The sequence below is a fragment of the Homo sapiens genome, chromosome 8 (assembly GCF_000001405.40).
Source record: "Homo sapiens chromosome 8, GRCh38.p14 Primary Assembly".
NCBI classification, from domain to species: Eukaryota; Metazoa; Chordata; class Mammalia; order Primates; family Hominidae; genus Homo; species Homo sapiens.
In genome coordinates, this window is record NC_000008.11 from 11,910,078 (window position 1) to 11,930,973 (window position 20,896).

The following is a 20,896-nucleotide window of genomic DNA, read 5'->3' on the forward strand; positions in this document are numbered from 1 at the left end:
CCTGTCTCAGCTTAGCCTTTGCATATCCTCTCTTTCATTTGAGTCCCATTGGGGGTTGGTTCCTGGCAACTGGGTCTTTCCATACTCTTGGGGGTTTTGGTAATCAGCCGGTGCATGTTCCTCTAGCCACTTAGTTGCTGCGTGGAGCCCTCTCTGCCTTTCATCTCTGTTAAAGAGGAATATGAGCAACTGGTGGCAATCAGCCCAGGTGGGGTTATGGGTCTGGATAATAGTTTGGAGCAAATCAATCAGAGCTTGTGGCTTTTCGGTATAGGACGGGGTATTGTTTTTCCAGTTGAGAAGGTCAGCAGAGGTGAAGGGCTGGAACAAAGAAACACGCCTCCCCACCATGTGCCCATCCTCATCTATCCCAGTATACTGGTGCTCTCTCAGGGGCATGTGTATCCCCATTTTGGGTCTTAAACGAGCTGCCAAGGGAGGGGTTTCTTCCGAGGCTTCACCTCCTCTCTTGTCTACTCTGGGTGGCCTAGGGATATGTTTGTCTTGCGGAGGCGCAAGCACTGTGGACTCAAAAGTGGGGAGCCTCTCTCCCTGGTAAGGGGAGGGCACCACTGGGATCACTGGTGCCATCTCCTGCAATGGATCTTCTGATGTTGGGTTGAACAGAATTTCCGGAGTTGATTTCCCTGGGCAGGTGGAGCGGGATCCTTCCTTGGTTATCTGTCCCTTTGCTACTAGCACTGCTGCTGCCTGCCCTCTCAGCCACTGTGGGGGGTCTAGCACCAGCTGTAACCAAGTGTCTATGTTTAGAAACTGGTCTGAGTGTCCTGACTTAACAGTTACCTTGTGCCATACCTTAGAAACAAGGGACATGTCCAGGCTTCCTTCTGATGGCCAACCCACTTCTAAAGCTGGGCAATCTATTTCACACAAAGTTCTAAGTTTCCCTGGTGTCATAGTAACCCCATAGTCTCCATTAAATCCCTTCTTAAAATTTTTCAACATAGTTCCTAGCGGAGTAGGCTTACTTTGTGTCTGACCCACGTTTCCTCGAGACAGAACACCAAGCTCACACCACACGCACACCACAGAACAAAGAATGGGTAAAAAGGGCACACACACGCTTTTTCAGTTTTCACAAAACCAGAATCAAAACCAAAATCAGAGTATCCAGAAATCCAAGCCACGTCAAACCAAAACCAAAGTATCAAGTAATTCAAGTCAAATCAAAAACAAAAACCAAAGTGCCAGTACAGGCACGCCATGGGTGATCAGGCCACGCTTCCACTCAAATGGAGTGGGCAAGTTCCAAAGACCAGTCTTACCAAGTTTCAAATGTCCAGACTCCAAGTGCCTCTTCCTGGTGTTCAGCCACTGCGTTGATCCTCCACAGGGGCCTACCACACACTGCTCTGACGAGGCGTTCCACCCGGGCAATTGCCTACCCGGCAGTGCTCTCTGCATGTGCGTTGCTCTAGCTGGCCAGAGTCCCCCGCAGGGATGCTCCACAGGGCAGGCCTAAGCCGCCTAAGGGGCTGCCTCGACTCTCCGTCAGTTACCTCGCTTCCCAGTCAGGGAACCATGAAATGTAGCAGGACGAGTCGCAGACAAAACTCCTCAGACACTGGATTAAAGAAGGAAGAGGTTTTTTTATTTGGCCAAGAGTGTCAGCACACTCGTGTCTTAAGAGCTGAGCTCCCTGAAAAAGAAATTCCTAGCCCTTTTAAGGGCTTACCACTCTCAGGGTTCTATGTGAAAACGTCATAATAGATCAAGTAAGTATGAGGAACATGACTGGGGGCTACATACATCAGCTAACAGAACAAAAAGTTTTACAGTGCTTTCTCATACAACGTCTGGAATTTACAGATAACACCAGTAGTTTTGGTCAGGGGTTAATAATATTATTATTTTAAACACCAGGGCCAGGAGGTGGCGCCAAGGTCATCTAGCTATTTATCTTACTTCTATTTCCAACTTTTTGCTTTCTCCCTTTTCTCCTGTCTTATAAACTAGGGAAAAGGGGAGGTTGGGGAGAAACTGGGAAGGACAACAGGAGAAGTGGTGGCCTCATACCATATAATCATTGGGATGGATTCATCCCTGCAAGCCCAGCCTGTTTCTGCAGTTTTCTTCTCATGTCTTCTGCGCTTTGACGGACTGAAGCCATGTGAATCATGCGCTGATTTTCAGGGCTATCAGGATCAAAGGGAGTATATATACCATAGGCCTCACACAGTCTCTCCTAAAATTGTGCTGGACTTTCTTCTTTTCCCTGAATGACCTCAGAGAGCTTGTTAACATTTGTGGCCTTCTGAGCTCCCCTCTGTAATCCTTCCAAGAGAGTTTCTCTCTGTTGGTTTAGCCTTTGCATATCCTCTCTTTCATGTGGGTCCCCCTGGGGGTCGGTTCCAGGTAACTGGGTCCTTCCATACTCTTGGGGGTTTTGGTAATCAGCTGGTGCATGTTCCTCTAGCCACTTAGTTGCTGCTTGGAGCACTCTCCGCCTTTCATCTGTGTTAAAGAGGAACATGAGCAACTGGTGGCAATCAGCCCAGGTGGGGTTGTGTGTTCAGATATTAGTTTGGAGCAAATCAATTAGACCTTGTGCCTTTTCGGTATAGGACAGGCTATTGTTTTTCCAGTTGAGAAGGTCGGCAGAGCTCAAGGGCTGGTACCCAGAAACACGCCTCCCCACCATGTGCCCATCCTCATCTATCCCAGTATACCACTGCTCTCTCAGGGGCATTTGGATCCCCATTTTGGGCCATAAACGAGCTGCCAAGGGAGGGGTTCCTCCCGAGTCTTCACCTCCTCTCTTGTCTATTCTGGGTGGCCTGGGGATATGCTTGTCTTGTGGAGGCGCAAGCACTGAGGGCTCAAGAGTGGGGAGCCTCTTTCCCTGGTAAGGGGAGGGCACCACTGGGATCACTGGTGCCATCTCCTGCAATGGATCTTTTGATGTTGGGTCGAACAGAACTTGAGGAGTTGATTTCCCTGGGCGGGTGGAGCGGGATCCTTCCTTAGCCATCTGTCCCTTTGGTACTAGTATTGTTGCTGCCTGCCCTCTCAGCCACTGTTGGGGGTCTAGCACCAGCCGTCACCAAGTGTCTATTTATGGGAACTAGTCTAGCTATCCTTTACCAGTTACCTTGTGCCACACCTCAGAAACAAGGGACCTGTCCAGGCTTCCTTCTGATGGCCAATCCACTTCTAATGGTGGGCAATCTATTTCCCACAGGGTTCTAGGTCCCCCTGGTGATCTAGTGGTTAGTCTTTGGCGCTCTCACTGCCACTACCCGGGTTTGATTTCCGGTCAGGGAACCAAGAAATGGAGCAGGAGGAGCCACGGAAAAGCCCCTCAGACAGCAGACTCAAGAAGGAAGAGGCTTTTTATTCGGCCGGGAGCGTCGGCAGATTCTCGTCTTAAGAGCCCAGCTCCCCTAAGGAAGACAGAATTCCTGGCCCGTTTAAGGGCTTACAACTCTAAGGGGTTCCACGTGAAAGAATCGTGATGGATTGAGAGCACATGTGCTTAGAGTGGGGGGGCGGGGGTTAATCTTTTCACCTCAGGCCGGCTCATCAGTGCCACCGGCTGGTCTTGCCACTGACTTCATTCCTGTTGTTTTTCAACTTTTACTTCCTCCTCCTCTTCAGAGACAGGAGACAGTAGACAAATGGCTTCTCTCCTCAGGGCGGCAGGATGGTATTACTCCCAATATCGCAGGGGGTGTACACAACCCTGTGATATTGTTCCTAATATCCAGAGCGAAAGAGGATGATATGACTCTCAATATCGCAGAGGGTGTGCACCCGTCCTGTAATATTGTCCTTAATACCCTGCGAGGGAGAGCATAAGATGACATTGAATATCGCAGGGATGTGCACCCTCCCCCTCTGATACACTTCCTAATATCCAGGGGAAGAGAGGATAATTTTACTCCCAATATCGCAGAGGCAGTACACCAGCCCCCCACACCCGTGATATTGTTCCTAATATCCAAGAAGGGAGAGAATGATACTTCTCTCAATCAAGCAGTGGGTGTACATTACCCCTGTGTTATTGTCTCTAATATCCGGGGGTGGAGGGGGGGCGGAGAGGATAACATTTCCTCAAATTTGGCAAGTGGTTTGACGCCCGTTGTGGTATTGTTTTTAATATCCAGCGGGGAAGACAATACTACTACTCTCGATATCACAAGAAATGCACATCCCCCTGTGATATTGCTACTAATATCCAGGGGTAGAGAGAATGATGTTACTCCCAATATCGTCAAAGTGTCCACCCCCCTCCACTTTGCTATTGTTCTTAATATATGGAAGGCAAGTATGATATGACTCCCAATATGGAAGGAGGAATACACGCCCCTGTGATATTGTTCCCAGTATACAGTGCAGGAGAGAATGATATTACCCCCAATATCGCAGGAGGGGTACACCCCTCTGTGTTCTTGTTCATAAGGTTCATTAGAAAAGATGATTTTACTGGAAATATCGTCAATACACTGTATGTCCTCAGTGGCTGCTAACATGCAAGGAGGGAAGGGGGTTGATATTACTCTGCGCATCAGCGGAGCGTGTCCACGCCCCTGAGATGTGGCTCCTATATCCATGGGGAAAGGGGATAGATATGACTCCCCGCATCACTGGGAGTGTCCACCCCTCTGCGATGTGGCTCGTCTTATCGGGGGTGGGTTGGTGATATTTCTCCCCGCATCGTGGGGGTCGCCCGCCCCGCTGCGATGTGTATCGTAATAGCAAGGGAAGGAGAGGGGGATGACATTACTCCCCGCATCGTGGAGGAGTCTATCACAGATCGGGATACTATCCACCCTCTGGGATATGGGGAGTACACCCCCTGTGATATTGGGAGGAATATCATACTCTTCCCCCCTGAATATTAGGAACAATATCATGAAGGGGGTGTTCACCCCCTGCCATATTGTGAGTCATGTCATTTTCTCTACCCCTGGACATTAGGAGCAATGTCACAGGGGTGGTGTACAACCCCTGCGAAATTCGGAGGTACATCTTCCTCTCCACCTTTGGATATTAGGGACAATAACACAAGGGAGGTCTACACGTTCTGGATTATTGGGATTAATACCGTCCTCTCCGTGCCCGGATATTAGCAACAAGATCACAGAAGGGAGGCCCACCCGGTGCGTTATTTGGCGTAATGGCATCGTCTACCCTTGGCTGTTAGGAACAACATCACAGGGGGCGTATATGTTTTCTGTGATACTGTGTGGAATGGCGCAATATTACTTATCGCAATAATATCAATTATGAATAAATAATATCAATCAATAATATCAACTATTAATACTAATAATTATTAGTAATTGATATTAATTGTAATTATCAATATTAATAACTGATAATATAATTTTTAAAATCAATATCCATAATAATGAAAATTAATATTAAATACTTGTGCTAATGATAACAATAAATGAGAAATATTAATGATTAATAACGCCTGATATTCATAACCGATATCGACCTTATTCATTAGAAAAGAGTAATATTAGCTCCTAATGATTGATATTAATATTAATAATACTAATATTAATAATGTGAAAACGTTTTATTGGCAATTATTTCTTCATATTACTATTGGTAATTCATATTCGTGTGAATAATAAATGAGGAATAATTAATATTAATATTGCACCTAATACCTTAGTGGGTGTACACCCACCTGTGATATTGTTCCTAATGTTCAGGGAGGGAGAGATCATGATATTACGTTCAATATCGCATTAGGTGTACACACAACCGGTGATATTGATCCGAATATAATCTCCAGGGGGTGGAGTATGACGTCACTCCCAATAGAGCAGTGGGTGTACATCCACCCGGTGATATTGCTCCTAATATTCACGGAAGAAGAGAATGCTGTGATTTCCAGTATCGCAGAAAGTGTACACCCCTTCTGTGATATTGTTCCTAATATCCGGAGGGGGAGAGGGTGATATTACTCACAATATCGCAGGCTGTGTACACCCACCCTCTGATATTGTTCCTAGTAGCCAGGAAGGGAGAGGACGATATGACTTCCCATACAGCAGGAGGTGTACACCCATTCTGGGATATTATTCCTAATATCCATGGAAAGGAGAGGCTGATATGACTCCCAATATCGCAGGGGGTGTACATCCAGTCTGTGATATTGTTCTTAATATTCAAAGACAGAGAGGTTGATATTACTCCCAATACCACAGAAAGTGTACGAACCCTTGTGATATTGTTCCTACTATCCAGAAGAAGAGAAGATGATATTACCTCCCATATCACAGGAGGAGTACACCCACTCTGCGATATGTTTTCTAATGTGCAGGGCGGGAGAGCATAACATTCTTCTTACAGCACAGGGTGTGTACAGCCCCCCTGTGATATGGTCCTTCATATTTCAAGGCGGAGAGGATGATCTTACTCCCAATACCGCAGAAAGTGTACACCACCCCAGTGACATTGCTCCCGTGATCCAGGAGAGAAGAGGATGATGCTACTATCAATATCGCATGGGGTGGACACGCCCCCAGTGATATTCCTCCTAATTTCAACGTGGGAGAGGATGATACCAAACCCAATGCCGCTGGGGGTAAAAACAATCCTGTGATATTGTTCTTAATATCGAGGGAGAAGAGGATGCTATTACTGCAACTAGTGCAGAAGATGCACACCCGTCTGTGATATAGTTGGTAATTTCCAGAGGTGGAGAAGATATTACTGACAATAACGTCCACAAGCGGTGTGACCACCGTGGACCGTTATATCCAGGGCGGGAGAGGGGGGAGATATTACTCCCCTCATCGCGGGGGGCGTCTCCTCCCCCCATGCGGTGCGGATCGTAATATCCAGTGGGGGAGAGGGGGGTGATATTACTCCCCGCATCGCAGGGACGGTCTCCGCCCACCTGCGGTGTGGATCGTAATACCCAGGGCGGGGAGAGGGTGGTGATATTACTCCCTGCATCTCGGGGGGTGTCTCCCCCACCCCCTGCGGTGTGGATCGTAATACCCGGGGGTGGGGAGGGTGGTGATATTACTCCCTGCATCGCGGGGGGTGTCTCCCCCACCCCTGCGGTGTGGATCGTAATATCCAGGGTGGAGAGGGGGTGATATTACTCCCCGCATCGCGGGGGGCGTCTCCGCCCCCCTGCGATGTGGATCGTAATATCCAGGGGGGGGAGAGGGGGATGATATTACTCAAGTATTCTTATGATCTTTTCTCTACTGCCACACTTGGTTAACAACCTGGTACATTATTTTCCATATTCTAGCGAGTTACCACTACTAAAGTCACAGGGGATAGACACCCTGCGATATTATTTGTCATATTGTAGGGGAATGTTCATCCAGATGTCACAGGACTCTACACACTGTGATGTTATTCCCAATATCCTAGGGGAATGTTAGTAATGATGTCACAATGTGTGTGCACCTTGTGGTGTTTTTCTTAATCTCCTAAGGGGAGGTTACTTTTATTGTCACACTGGATATGTTCCCTTTGATATTATTCATCATATCCTGGAGGGATGTCACTCCTTGTGTCTCAGGGTTTGTACACTTTGTCAAATTACTCGTATTATCCTTAGAAGATGTCACTCCTCATATCACAGAGGGCGTACACTCTGTGATATTATCGTCATTTTCTAGGGAATTGTTACTTTTAATGTCACAGAGGGTGTACACCTTGTGAAATTATTCGTTATAATTTTGTGGGATGTTACCCCTAAGGTCACACGGGGTGTACACACAGTGATATTACGTGCAATATTCTATAGAAATGTTACTCGTAAATCACAGGTTCTGTACACCCTTTAATATTCTTCGTAATAGTCTAGGAAAACGTTACTGCTAATGTCACAGGGCGTGTAGACCCTGTCATAAAATTCATAACATGCTAGCTGGTGTTCACTACTCATTTCACGATGCGTGTACATCCTTTGATATTATTCGTATTATCCTGAAGAGATGTTACTACTGATGTCCCTATGCAGGTACATTCTCTGATATTATTCGTTATATCCTCGGGGGATGTTCCTTCTAATGTCACACGCTTGTACTCCCTGTGTTCTATTTCGTAATATCCTAGGGCAATTTTACTTTCAATGACACAGGGTTGTAGACATTGTGATATTATTCGTGATATTCTAGAAAGATGTTACTCCTAATGCCACAGGGGTCCTAATGTCACTGGGGGTGTACACCCCGTGATATTATTCTTACTATTCTATGGGGATGTTACTCTTAATGTCACAGGTGTGTTCCTTCTGTGATAGTTTTGAAAATATGCTAGCAGGATATTACTACTAATGTCACAATACGTGTACACCTTGTGATATTATTAGCAATATTCAGGGGGGATGTTACTCCTAACGTTACAGGGGTGTACACTGTGTGATATTGTTCCCAAGATTGTAGGGGGATGTTACTCCTAAAGTCACAGGTGTGTATACCCTGTGATAGTATTCACAATATACTAACGGGAGATTACTACGAATGTCACCATGTGTGTACACCTTGTGATATTATTTGTAATATCCTGGGGGGACGTTACTCCTAACGTCATGGGGTGTACACCCCGTGTTACGATTAGCAATATTCTAGGGGGATTTTACTTTTAAAATCACAGAGGGTGTCAACCGTGGGATCTTATTGGTAATATCCTAGGAAGATGTTACTAGCAATGTCACATGGGGTGTACACCCTGGGATATTATTTTGAATATCCTAAAGGGATGCTATCTTAATGTCATGGGGTGTGTACACCCCTTGAAATTATTTGTAATATCCTAAGGAGATAGTACTTTAAAAATCACAGTGGGTGTGAACACATGGTGTACTCCCTGTGATATTACTCACAATATCTGAGGGAGGGATAACTTTTAATATCACAGTGGGTGTACACACTGTGATATTATTCGTCATATCGTGGAAGTATATTATTCCTATTGTCACAGGGGTTTAACATCCTGTGAAATTATTTGTAGTAATCCAGGGTGATGATTACCCTAAAGTCACAGGGTGTGTACACCCTGTGATATTATTCGTAATATTCTAGGGGGACGTTACTCCTAATGTCACCAATCTGTGCACGCTGTGATATTATTCACAGTCTACTAGCTGGTTATTGTTACTAATGTCACAGTGCGTGTACACCTTGTGATATTATTCGTAATATCCTAAGGGGATGTGACTCCTATTGTCACAGGGGGTGTGCTTTCTGTGCTATGATTCCTAGTATCCCAGGCGGACGTTACTCCTACCATACAAATTGTGTACACGTTGTTATATTATTCCTAATATCCTAGAGTGATGTTACTCCTCATGTCACGGGGGTGTCCACCCTGCGATGGTATTCTTCACATTCTAGAAAGATGTTTACTTCTAATATCACAGAGGGTGTACAATCTGTGAAGTTATTCATAATCGTTTCGGGGGATGTTACTCCTAATGTCACACGTGGTGTACAATCAGTGATATTATTTGTAAAGTTTTTTCAGATATGTTACTCCTAATATCACAGGGGCTGTACACCCTGTCATACTATTCGTAATATCCTAAAGAAATGTTACCACCAATGTCACAGGTGGTGTACATCGTGGGGTATTATTCCCAATATTGTAGGGTGATGTTACTCCTAATGTCACAGAAGGTCTTCACACTCTGATAATATTCGTAGTGCCCTAAAGGGATGTTACTACTGATCTCACAATGCAGGTACACAATCTGATATTATTTCTTATATCCTCGGGCGATGTTACTTCTAATGTCACAGGGGGTGTACATTTTTCGAAATTATTCATAATATTTTAGAAAGATGCTACTCCTAATGTCACAGAGGGTGACATGGGGGTGACCACCGTGTACATCACTGAGGCCACTGCACCCTGTCTCAGGGAAGATGACACATCTGAACTGAGGTAGCTTCCAACGCCTGTTCCATAAAATCAGCAAACAACTGACAGGTAAGACCCACAGGTGGAGAAGGCCTTATACTTCCCACCTGATGATGAAACCCTCAGAATGGAGAAAACAATTTTAGAGTAAGAGAAAAGGGTCCCCGAGATGGGAGGAAAACCAAATATGGCAGCAGGGAAATGCATGATTATGTTATTGGTGAAGGTGTCACAACATGCAATATGGGGGAGTTGAGAAGGGTCACAGAAGAAATTAGGAATTTCCACATCCTTGAAGCAGTTCATTCGTAAGGCAATCAAGTTGTGCAGCTGCACTTCTAAAAGACCGAGAAAAAAAAAAAAGACAACAAAAGTAGGAAGCCACAGAAACACGGGTTCATGGTGGCTGAATGATATAGAGGGTGACAGATGGCTACAAACCGGTCATAGGCCATCACACTCAGGAGCATGTCTCTCTTCCATGCCTCCAAAAATGGCAAAGAGAGACATCTGAGTCAGACGGCCTGCATAGGAGATGACTCTGCTGTGAGATTGGATGTCCACAATCATCTTGGGGACCGCGGTGGAGGTGAAACCGATGTCAGGCAAGGACAGGTTGGAGAGGAAGAAGTACATGGGGGTGTGGAGGTGGGACTCAGGGCTGACAGACAGGAGGATGAGCGGGTTCCCCAGCACAGTGACCAGGCACATGGACAGGAACAGCCCAGTGACGACCGGCTGCAGTTCTGGATCCTGTGAGGTTCTAGGAGGAGGAATAGAGAGACATCTGTTAGATTCTGTGGGTCTGTAGAGTTTGGACAGCTTTTGCCTAGAAAAGAGGGTTGAAAAATCGGAAACAACTAAACCAACACCCAGCATTGTGTCTGCATTTTGGATAGAAGCAATTCACAAGTAATGTTTTCAGATTTCAGAGCAATCCACACTCAGCAATATTTTGCAGTTCTGACAAACTCAATTGTCTTCTAATGCTTTCATCATTGATTTCTGTGTTATTCACTTCTTGCTGTACACACCTGCCTTAGAGATACTAGATTCAAGAATGCTCCAAGAACCAGATCGTCATATAGAACAAATTCATAATTGCTAGAAAATACAGCCTATCTTTTCCGAAGAAAAATATGTAATAAAACCATTCTCTTCACTTTAAGAAAATGGTTATCCTAATTAAAGGAAATTAAGAACTCAAATATTTTATTTGATTCGAATAGATTGATACAAATTCCGATTTAGAACATTTATAAACACTGTATAACAGCTGAGACCATGCCATCTGGAAATGAAATTACAGTTGGTAGTTCCTAAGCAGAAAATATTTCCATATGCCAGTTAGGTCCTAGTGATTTCATCATTATGTTTTCTGACTTTTCTCCTTCCCGAGAGTAATTGCTTACTCAAATCGGTGCGTCTTGTGTTAAAATTCATGTAAGCTATAACTCCTGTCCTCAGCTTAGGTGGACTTAGAGTTCTCATCGGAAAGTTGGGCCGGACTCCGTGGCTCATGCCTGTAATCCCAGCACTTTGGGAGGCGGAGGAGGGTGGATCACCAGGTCAGGAGATCAAAACCATCCTGGCCAACATGGTGAAACCCCGCCTCTACTAAAAATACAAAAATGTCACCCGGTATGGCGGCGCGCGCCTATAGTCCCAGCTACTCGGGAGGCTGAGGCAGGAGAATGGCTTGAACCTGGGAGGCAGAGGCTACAGTGAGCCGAGATCACACCACTGCACTCCAGCCTGGGCAACAAGAGCAAAACTCTGTCTCAAAAAACAAAAAACCAAAAACACACGCTCTGTCACACTGACGTCACACTGATGACAGCCAATTTTTGTGAACCAAGGAAGTGTCAATTCAATAATTCACATAGGCGTTTCCTTTTGCTGTCTCCTATGTGCCAAGCAAGATATAGGCTCTGGGGAATCAGAAACAAAAGAGACTCACTTGTTCCTCTCACAGTACTCAGTCCTTACTGAGAGAAGGAAAAAACAAAATGTCCTGTCTGGAATGCAGGGAAACCAGAACTTCAGGTCAGGGGATATTTCTGTTGAACCGTATGGAGTTTAAGCTTAAAATATTAACGAATGTATCTAAAATTCACTTTGCCTTTACTTTACGCGTCCATCACATAGAGATCACGCAGCGGGCATCCACGATCGGTTTAATCATTGCTCACTTCCATTGGATCAACTAGAAATCAACTCAGATGAGAGTGCTGAATCTCAGAGGATGGACGTCTCACCCTTTGCCATACAGATAAGCAGAAAGGGTGGTATTGAAAATTAATGGCCAGACTCTAAGTCCCGGGCAATATACTTGATGGTCTCCCAACCCTCAAAATGTTTGGGTTCTTTTTTGTTTTTGTTTTTGTTTTTTATTTTGAGATGGAGTCGTTCTGTTGCCAGGCTGGAGTGCAGTGGAGTGAGCTCGGCTCACTGCAACCTCCGCATCCCAGGTTCAAGCTATTCTCTTGCCTCAGCCTGCCGAGTAGCTGAGATGACAGGGGCCTGCCACTACGCCCGGCTAATATTTTTCTCTTTTTAGGAGAGACGGGGTTTCACCATGTTGGCCAGGCTGGTCTCGAACACCTGACCTTGTGATTCGCCTGCCTCAGCCTCCCAAAGTGCTGGGATTACAGGCGTGAGCCACCGCGCCCAGCTTCCAAAAGTTTTCAACAGAGCTCAGAGGTCTTAACCACAAGCATATCAGAGGAGCATTTTTGAAACACTTCCCAGCTTCCTCAATAAGAATGGAAGCCAAACCCCGAATTGATGACTCCTTTGAGGAAGTCGAGAGCTGTAAGGAAAGCTAGGAACAGGGCAAGGGAGAGATGCATCCTGAATGATCCTGTGCCAATTATTCCTGGAATCCTCGATGTGATCTCAGCTGCCCTTTCCATTCTTGACACAGTGATTGTGGCACCCACTGGTCTAGCTGTGATCTACAAGGAACCCCCAAAGGGAAGGGCACAGTGAGCAGGGACATCGGCCTGAGTGACAAGGATTTGAGAGGGCAGGTTGGATGCAGGGAGAGGACTGGCCAAATGCCATGTGTCTGGACTTAGACTGCCTGGTTCAAATTGGGCTTCACCCTTTTTGACGTCATGATCTGGTACAAGTTGTAACAAAATATGTTGCTCCTTTTCTAGTCTGTAAAATCATCATGAAATGTGCACTAATAACTGGGAGACTACGCAGATGAAATGAAACAAGCTTCAACAAGCTGCATAGAACACAGAGCTCAGAGCCTGGCCTTTAGGAAGCCCTCAGTAAGGGTTCATGATGCCATGGTGTCTGTCATCATCCTCTTTATCCTCATCATCACCTTCATCATCTTTTTGTTGTTCTGAGGGAACAGTTTAGAGGGACTCATTCCCTGCTATCATGGGTGAGATGTCTATGAAAAGGACAACCAATGGGGGAGGGAAGCAAAATTTTGAAGAAGATTCCTGAGAGAGAACCCCCACCACAAGCAAGAACAGGAACTCCACAGTCTGCTGAGCTGACAGTTTGCACATTCGTCTCCTCCCGTCTTCCCACCGCACTGTCCTGTTTGTCCTGAGGATGAGGAAACAAACAAGGCTCCCGACTGTCCCTCAGCACTCACTGAACTGCCCTTCCCCTCTGCTAGGCCACGACCACTGAGAACAGGTCCACTGTTCTCCCTGCATGGTGCACATTGGAGGCTCAGACTCCGTCCTCAAGGCTGGCCAGAAGACAGGGTGAGACATGAGCCTCCCGATACAGGTGACGGTTGTGGAGCCCACAGGACTGCAACCTCACACTGCAGGGCTGGAGGCACAGACTGAGTATTTACTATTCTATGGCCTGGGGGGCTCAAGGCACAGAGCCCCTCATTAGCCAGAGTCGCCCAAGTTCCCCAAGCTCTAAGGATTTCCTCATCATCATGCAAGAAGAAGAAGAGAAAAGCGAGTGTCCATAGAAGCTTTGGGGCTCTTCCTCTAATCAGGAGAGAGCTTGTGTGTATTATTTGCTTCTTTCTTTTCTTTTACAAGATCCAAGTGCTTTAATTTTCATCTTTTATTATGGGAAAATATACCATGTATAAATGCTAAAAATTATAAATATAGATTATTTCATATAGAATGGCCAGTATAAACATTTACAATTTCCACTGTTTTTCAGTTTATAGTTTAATCACATTAGGTACATTCGCATTGTTTAGCAACCAACACCGCCATCATCTCCAGAACAGTTTTCTTGTTGAAAATGGAAATTGCACCCATTAACCAAACTCTCCATTCCTCTCTCTCTCGCCCACCCCTGGGGGCCACCATTCTATTTTGCAACTCTATAAGTTTAGCTACTGTAGACACGTGATATAAGTGGAATCATACCGTGTTTAATTTTTTTGGTTTGTTTGTTTTGGAGACAGAGTCTTTCTCTGTTGCCCAGGCTGGAGTGCAGTGGCGTGGTCTGGGCTGACTGCAACCTCCACATCGTGGGTTCAAGCGATTCTTGTGTCTCAGTCTCCCAAGTAGCTGGGATTACAGGCGTGCGCCACCATGCCCAGCTAATTTTTGTATTTTTAATAGAGACAAGCTTTCACCATATTGGCCAGGCTGGTCTCGAACTCCTGACCTTAAGTGATCCGCCTGCCTCAGCCTCCCAAAGTGCTGGGGTTACAGGTGCGAGCCACTGAGCCTGGTCGTGTTTATCCTTTTGGGATTTCTTTATTTCACTGATGAGAATGTCTTCAAGGTTCATCCGTGTTGCATCCTGTGTCAGAAGTGCCTGTCTGGTTGTTTGGGTGTTTTTTTTTTCTTTTTTTTTTTTGGTTTTGTTTTGTTTTGTGTTTACATGGAGTCTCACTCTGTCGCACAGGCTGGAGTGTAGTGGCACAATCTGGGCTCACTGCAACCTCCACCTCCCGGGTTCCAGCGATTCTTGTGCCTCAGCCTCCCGAGTAGCTGGGACTATAGGCACAGGCTACCACGCTCATCTAATTTTTTGCATTTTCAGTAGAGACAGGGTTTCACCAAGATGGCCAGGCTGGTCTTGAATTCCTGACCTCAGGTGAACCACCCACCTCGGTCTTCCACGATGCTGGGATTCCAGGCGTGAGCCACCGCACCGGACAGAAGTGCCTGCCTTTTTAAGGCAGAATAGTCTTCCATTGTATGAAGGAACTGCAGTGTGCTTTTTCATTCAACTGTCCACAAACCCTTGGGTTGCTTCCACATTTTGGCTCTTGTGAATAATGCTGCTATGAATTTGGGTGTACAAATCTCTCTTCCACTCCTGGCTTCTAATTCTTTTGGCAGGTGCCCACAAGTGCAACAGCGGGAACATCTGATAATCCTGTTTCTACTTTTTCCAGTATACACCATACTATTTTCCCTGTTCCTTCATGGTTTTACATTCCCTCCAATCAGATTCGAGCATTCCTACTTCCCTCTCGTCTCACCAATGCTTGTTTGTTTATCATATCCATCCTAATGTGTGGTATCACATTCTTGGTTTGATTTGCACTTCCCTATGATGAGTGATTTTGAATATCATTTTAGATGCTTACTGGCTATTGCTATATCTTCTTAACGACGTGTCTACTCGAGTCTTCTGACCATTGTTAATGGGATGCTTTGAGTTTCTTGTTGTTCAGTTCTAGCTGTTCTTTGTATATGACGCATATCAGCCTCTTTTCAGAGATATGATTTGCAAATATTTTTCCTAATCCATGGGTTATCTTTTCACAGTTCACAGTGTTTGCTGATGCACAAAAGTGTCTGTCATTTAGATGTAATCCAAGGAATCTAATTTTCTTTTGTTGCCTATGCTTTTGGTGTCATATCCCAGACAGCATTGCCCAATCTGATGTCATGAAAGCGTGGCCAATGTTTTCTTTTAGGCATATTATACTTTCAGCACTTGGGGTTAGGGCTTTGACCCAGTTTGTGTTAATTTTTGCACCTGGTGTGACATAGGGTCCACCTTCATTCTTCTGCATGTGGAAATCAAGTTTCTCCAACACCATTTCTTGAAAAGGCTGCTTTTCCACCAATGAGTTTTCTTAGCACTCATGTTAAAAATCATTTGAACATATAGGTGAGAACTTATTTCTGGGCTCCAGAACAAACAAACAACAACAGACACCAGATAAGGATACAGCATGGGCCGAGCACAGTTGCTCACACCTGTAATCCAAGCACTTTGGGAGGCCGAGGCGGGTGGATCACCTGAGGTCAGGAGTTCAAAACCAGCCTGACAGACAGGAAGAAACCCCCGTCTCTACTACAAATACAACATTAGCTGAGCGTGCTGGGGCATGCCTGTAACCCCAGCTGCTCAGGAGATGGAGGCAGGAGAATCGCTTGAACCCAGGAGGCAGAGGTTGTGGTGAGCCAAGATTGCACCATTACACTCCAGCCTGGGCAACAAAAGTGAAACTCTGTCTCAAAACAAAAAACCAAAAACAGAAAATCCAGCACGATATCGAGAGCAGAAAGAGAATAGCTGAAAAACCAGCATAATGAGAAAATGAGGAAGCTTCTTACCAAAGCATCTGGAAATATGCAAGCAATTCTTGTGAACTAAAATTTTCATACTGTACTATCAAACACTAGAACTCACTTATTCCATCTTTCTGTATTTTGGGACCCAATTATCCACTTGTCTTCATTCCCCATCCCACCCCTTTTCTTCCTAGCATCTGCTAACCCCCTTTATACTCTCCACCTTCCTGAGATTCCTTTTGTGTGTAGGTGTGTGATGGAGTCTCTTTCTGTTGCCCAGGTTGGAGTACACAGGCACAATCCGGGCTCACTGCAAGCTCCGCCTCCCGAGTTCAAGCGCTTCTTGGGCCCCAGCCCTCCGAGTAGCTGAGACTACAGGCATGCGTCACCACGCCTGGCTAATTGTTTGTGTTTTCAGTAGAGACAGGGTTTCACCATGTTGGCCAGGTGGGTCTCGAACTCCTGGCCTCAAGTGATCCGTACGACTCGGCCTCCCAGAGTGCTGGGATTACAGGCCTGAGCCACCACACTTGGCCAAGATTTTCTTTTTTGATCCTACATAGAAGTGAGGACATGAAATAGTTGTCATTCTGTGCCTGGCTTATTTCACTTCATATACAGACCTGCAATCTCATCCATTTTGTCTGCAGTGGAGAGAATTTTATTTATTCCTTTTTAGCCTGAATAATACTTCATTGTGTGTGTATACCACAGTTTCTCAATTGAAACAAATTTCTAAAAAGCAAATATTTTTAACTTGTCTCGGAATGTGAAACTTCAGGGATACTGTGCCCATTTTATTCTTTTCTATTTCCCATCTTATGTATATGCAAGTGTATAACAAAGCAGCAATCAATGTGTGTATAAATCTATAATTTCAACAAATGTAAAATGAAAATGCTAAGTGGTGGCTGGGTGCGGTCCCTCCCGCCTGTAATCCCAGAACACTGGGAGGTGGAAGCGGGCGGATCACTTGAGGTAGGGACTTCAAGACAAGCCTAACCAATATGGAGAACCACTGTCTGTACTAAAAATACCAAAAAATAAATAAATAAATAAATAAAAAATAAAATTAGCCAGGCATGGTAGCGCATGCCTGTAATCCCAGCTACTTGGAAGGCTGAGACAGGAGAATTACTTGAATACGGGAGGCAGAGATTGCAGTGAGCCGAGATCGTGCCATTGCACTCCAGCCTGGGCAACAAGAGTGAAACTCTGCCTCAAAAAGAAAAAAAAAAAAAAGAAAGAAAAAAAATAGAAAATGCTAAATGGTAAGAAACAACAGCATAATAAACATTGGTACGGTGTTGATGGACAATGCATTGGAAGATAATATTTGAAGAAATCATATTACAATTAACTTCTGTTCTTACTCATTGGAGCTTGATGCCTCTAAAAACTTCCTCATTGCAACCACCTCTGGTGCTTTAAAAAAAAAAAAAAAATCCACACACTCACACAGGTGCAGAGAAATCAGAATCTCAGGTAATGAGACCCAGGCCTCATCATGTGTAAGCTCCCCAGGTGATTTGACTCAAAGCCAAGATTGAGGAACGGCGACATGGATCTCTACACAGAACCTGCCTAAATAGATTCTCTAGAAGCAGTTTATAAAGAAATTCCACATGAACTGTGGAAGAGGATATGAATTTGATGTACAGTATGTCCTCACTTAACATCTTTGAAAGTCTCTTGGAAACTTCACCTTGAGGCAAAATTAGGTATAGTGAAACCACTTATTCCTCTCCAACATTATAACTACACAACTTTGAAGAACCAGTGGTGTTGGAGGACCTGCTGTACATTGTTTCCATAAAGTCAATTTTCAAGGAATTCCAAAATGAAGTGAGGACTTCACGTATATAAAAAGATGGTTGTGATTCCACCTGGATGACAGGGTTATTGCTCAGAAACCAAAGGAGGCCGCCTAGGTATAGATGATTCAGTCATGAGGTTTAAGCTAAACAAAGGATCCCAGAATCCTCACCCATTCCAGTTAAAGACATAAAGAAGAAAACAATATTCACAAAGGAAATGCGGAAAGGAATAAAAGCCATCAAGCCACAAAAATAACGTGACTAAGGGGCAGGATTTGCAGATGTAGAGATTTAATGTGGTTGCCCTTTCTCACCCACACAAGAAAAAGGATGGAACAGATCATGAGATTCCACTGTTCTGCTGCGCAGCCTCCGCAGGGCACTTTGTATGTCCCTGTTTCTCAGGCTGCAGATGAAAAGGTTCAGCATGGGGGTGACCACAGTGTACATCACTGATGCCACCACACCATTCCTGGGGGGTGGTGACACAGCTGAAATCAGGTACATGCCAATGCCTGTTCCCTAAAACCAGCAAACAACTGCTAGGTGAGAGCCACAGTTGAAGAAGGCTTTATACTTCTCATCTGATGATGAAATCCTTAGAATGGAGGGGACAATTTTATAGTAAGACAAAAGGATCCCTGAAATGGGAAGAAAACCAAACATAGTACTATCGAAATATATGAATACGCTATTGATGACGCTGTCAGAACAGGCAAGTTTGAGAAGTTGAGAGGGGTCACAGACAAAATGAGAGATTTCCACAGTCTTTATGATGGTGAATAGTAACACAATGCAACTGTGCAGCTGGGAATCCAACAGGCTGAGGAAAAAGGACACCAAAACGAAGAAGACACAGAGGTGAGGATTCACGATGACTGGGTAGTGCAGAGGGCGACAGATGGCTACAAAGCAGTCATAGGCCATCACAGTCAGGAGCATGCCTTCTATACATGCAAAACGGACCAAGAAAGATATCTGTGTCAGGCAGCCCGCATGAGAGATGACTCTGCTATGCGGCTGCATGTCCACAATCATCTTGGGAACCGTGGCCGAGGTGAAACCCATGTCAGCCCAGCACAGGTTGGAGAGGAAGAAGTACACGGGAGTGTGGAGCGGGGAGTCAGAGCTAACAGCCAGAATGCTGAGCAGGTTCCTCAGCACCGTGACCAGATACATGGACAGGAACAGGGACAGCAAAGCGAGGACTGGCTGCAGTTCTGGATCCTTTGAGAGTCCCAAGAGGAGAAATTCTCAGACACCTGTGAGATTCCGTGGCCCTGTGTGTCTTGGACACCTTGAGAAGGAAAGAGGATTGGAAAAATAAAAGTTAAAAATCAGCCCTTAATGCTAGATGCAAGCAATTCACAAGGAACATCTTCACACTTGCGGACCATACACCGCCAGCAATGTTTCTCAGTTGTGACAATTCCAAAAATCTCAGAATTATTACGTGATTTACTTTTTTGCTATACGAGGCTTTCTGTATATACTACTTTAGAGAATATCCACTGAAGAACATTAGAAGACTAAAACTTCATATATAACAAATCCGTGATCTCAGTAAAATACGGCCTACTCTTTTCAGAAAAAATACAATGCAATGAAAATGTCCTTCTCTCTTTAAGAAAAATATCTCAGTCTAATTGAAAGAAATTAAGAAGCCATGAAATACACTCTATTTTATTCTGACACCGTGCTACAACTTCCATTGATGTAGAATATGTAAAAGGACGACACAAGAGCTAGGACCCCATTATCTGAAAATGAAATCGAACCTTACAGTTCTCAATCGGAAGACCTTTTCACACGCCTGTTACTTTTCATATGTATTATCATCCTTCGGTTTTCTGACATCATTTCTTCATAAAAGTACATGCACACTGAAAGATGGAAGCTGTGTTTCCAAATGAACAGAATCTATAATTCCTGGCCCAGCACCATGTCTCACACCTGTAATCCCAGCACTTTGGGCGGCCGAGGCTGATGGATCACCTGAGGTCAGGAGTTCCAGACCAGCCTGGCCAACGTGGTGAAACCCCGTCTCCAGTGAAAATAAAAAAAAAAATTAGCCAGGCATGGTGGCGTTAACCCTAGCTACTCGGGAGGCTGAAGCAGGAGAATCCCTTAGAACCTGGAAGGCAGAGATTGGACACCCTGTGATAGGATTTTTGATATCTTAGGGAGATATTGCTCCTGACAGTAGAGTGGGCGTACACCCTGTGATATTATTTGTAATATCCTAGAAAGATATTTCTCCTAATATCACGGTGGCTCTTCACCCTGTGATCTTAATTGTAATATCCTACAGAGATCTTACTCCTAATAATACAGTGGGTGTACACCCTGTGATATTATTCATAATATATTACAGAGATACGACTCCTGATATCACAGTGAGTGTACACCATGTTGGTACCCCCGGTGATCTTATTTGTAACAACTTAGAAAAATATTACAGCCAATATCAAAGTGGGTGTACACCCTGCCATGTTATTTGTTATCTACTAGGTAGATATTACTCCTAATATCACCTAGGGAGATACGATTCCTCATATTACAGTGCATGTACACCCTGTGATAGTATTTGTAATATCCTAGGGAAATATCCTTGTATAACCTGTGATATTGTTTGGGACATTTGAGGGAACTATTTCTCTTAAAGTCAGAGTGGGTGTACACCCTGCAATATTCTTCCTAATATCACAGTGGGTGTACACA

General features: G+C 44.8%; 2 pseudogenes, besides 1 other annotated feature; both read right to left on the minus strand.

Moving 5' to 3' along the window:
• Positions 966-1,466: an enhancer, noted in NCBI's record as "H3K4me1 hESC enhancer chr8:11768552-11769052 (GRCh37/hg19 assembly coordinates)". NCBI's record gives its function as "activates a minimal SCP1, AML or CMV promoter by ChIP-STARR-seq in naive H9 embryonic stem cells {active_cell/tissue: H9 hESC(naive)}" and the evidence as "EXISTENCE:reporter gene assay evidence [ECO:0000049][PMID:30033119]".
• Positions 9,819-10,718, minus strand: OR7E158P (olfactory receptor family 7 subfamily E member 158 pseudogene; annotated as a pseudogene).
• Positions 18,491-19,486, minus strand: OR7E161P (olfactory receptor family 7 subfamily E member 161 pseudogene; annotated as a pseudogene).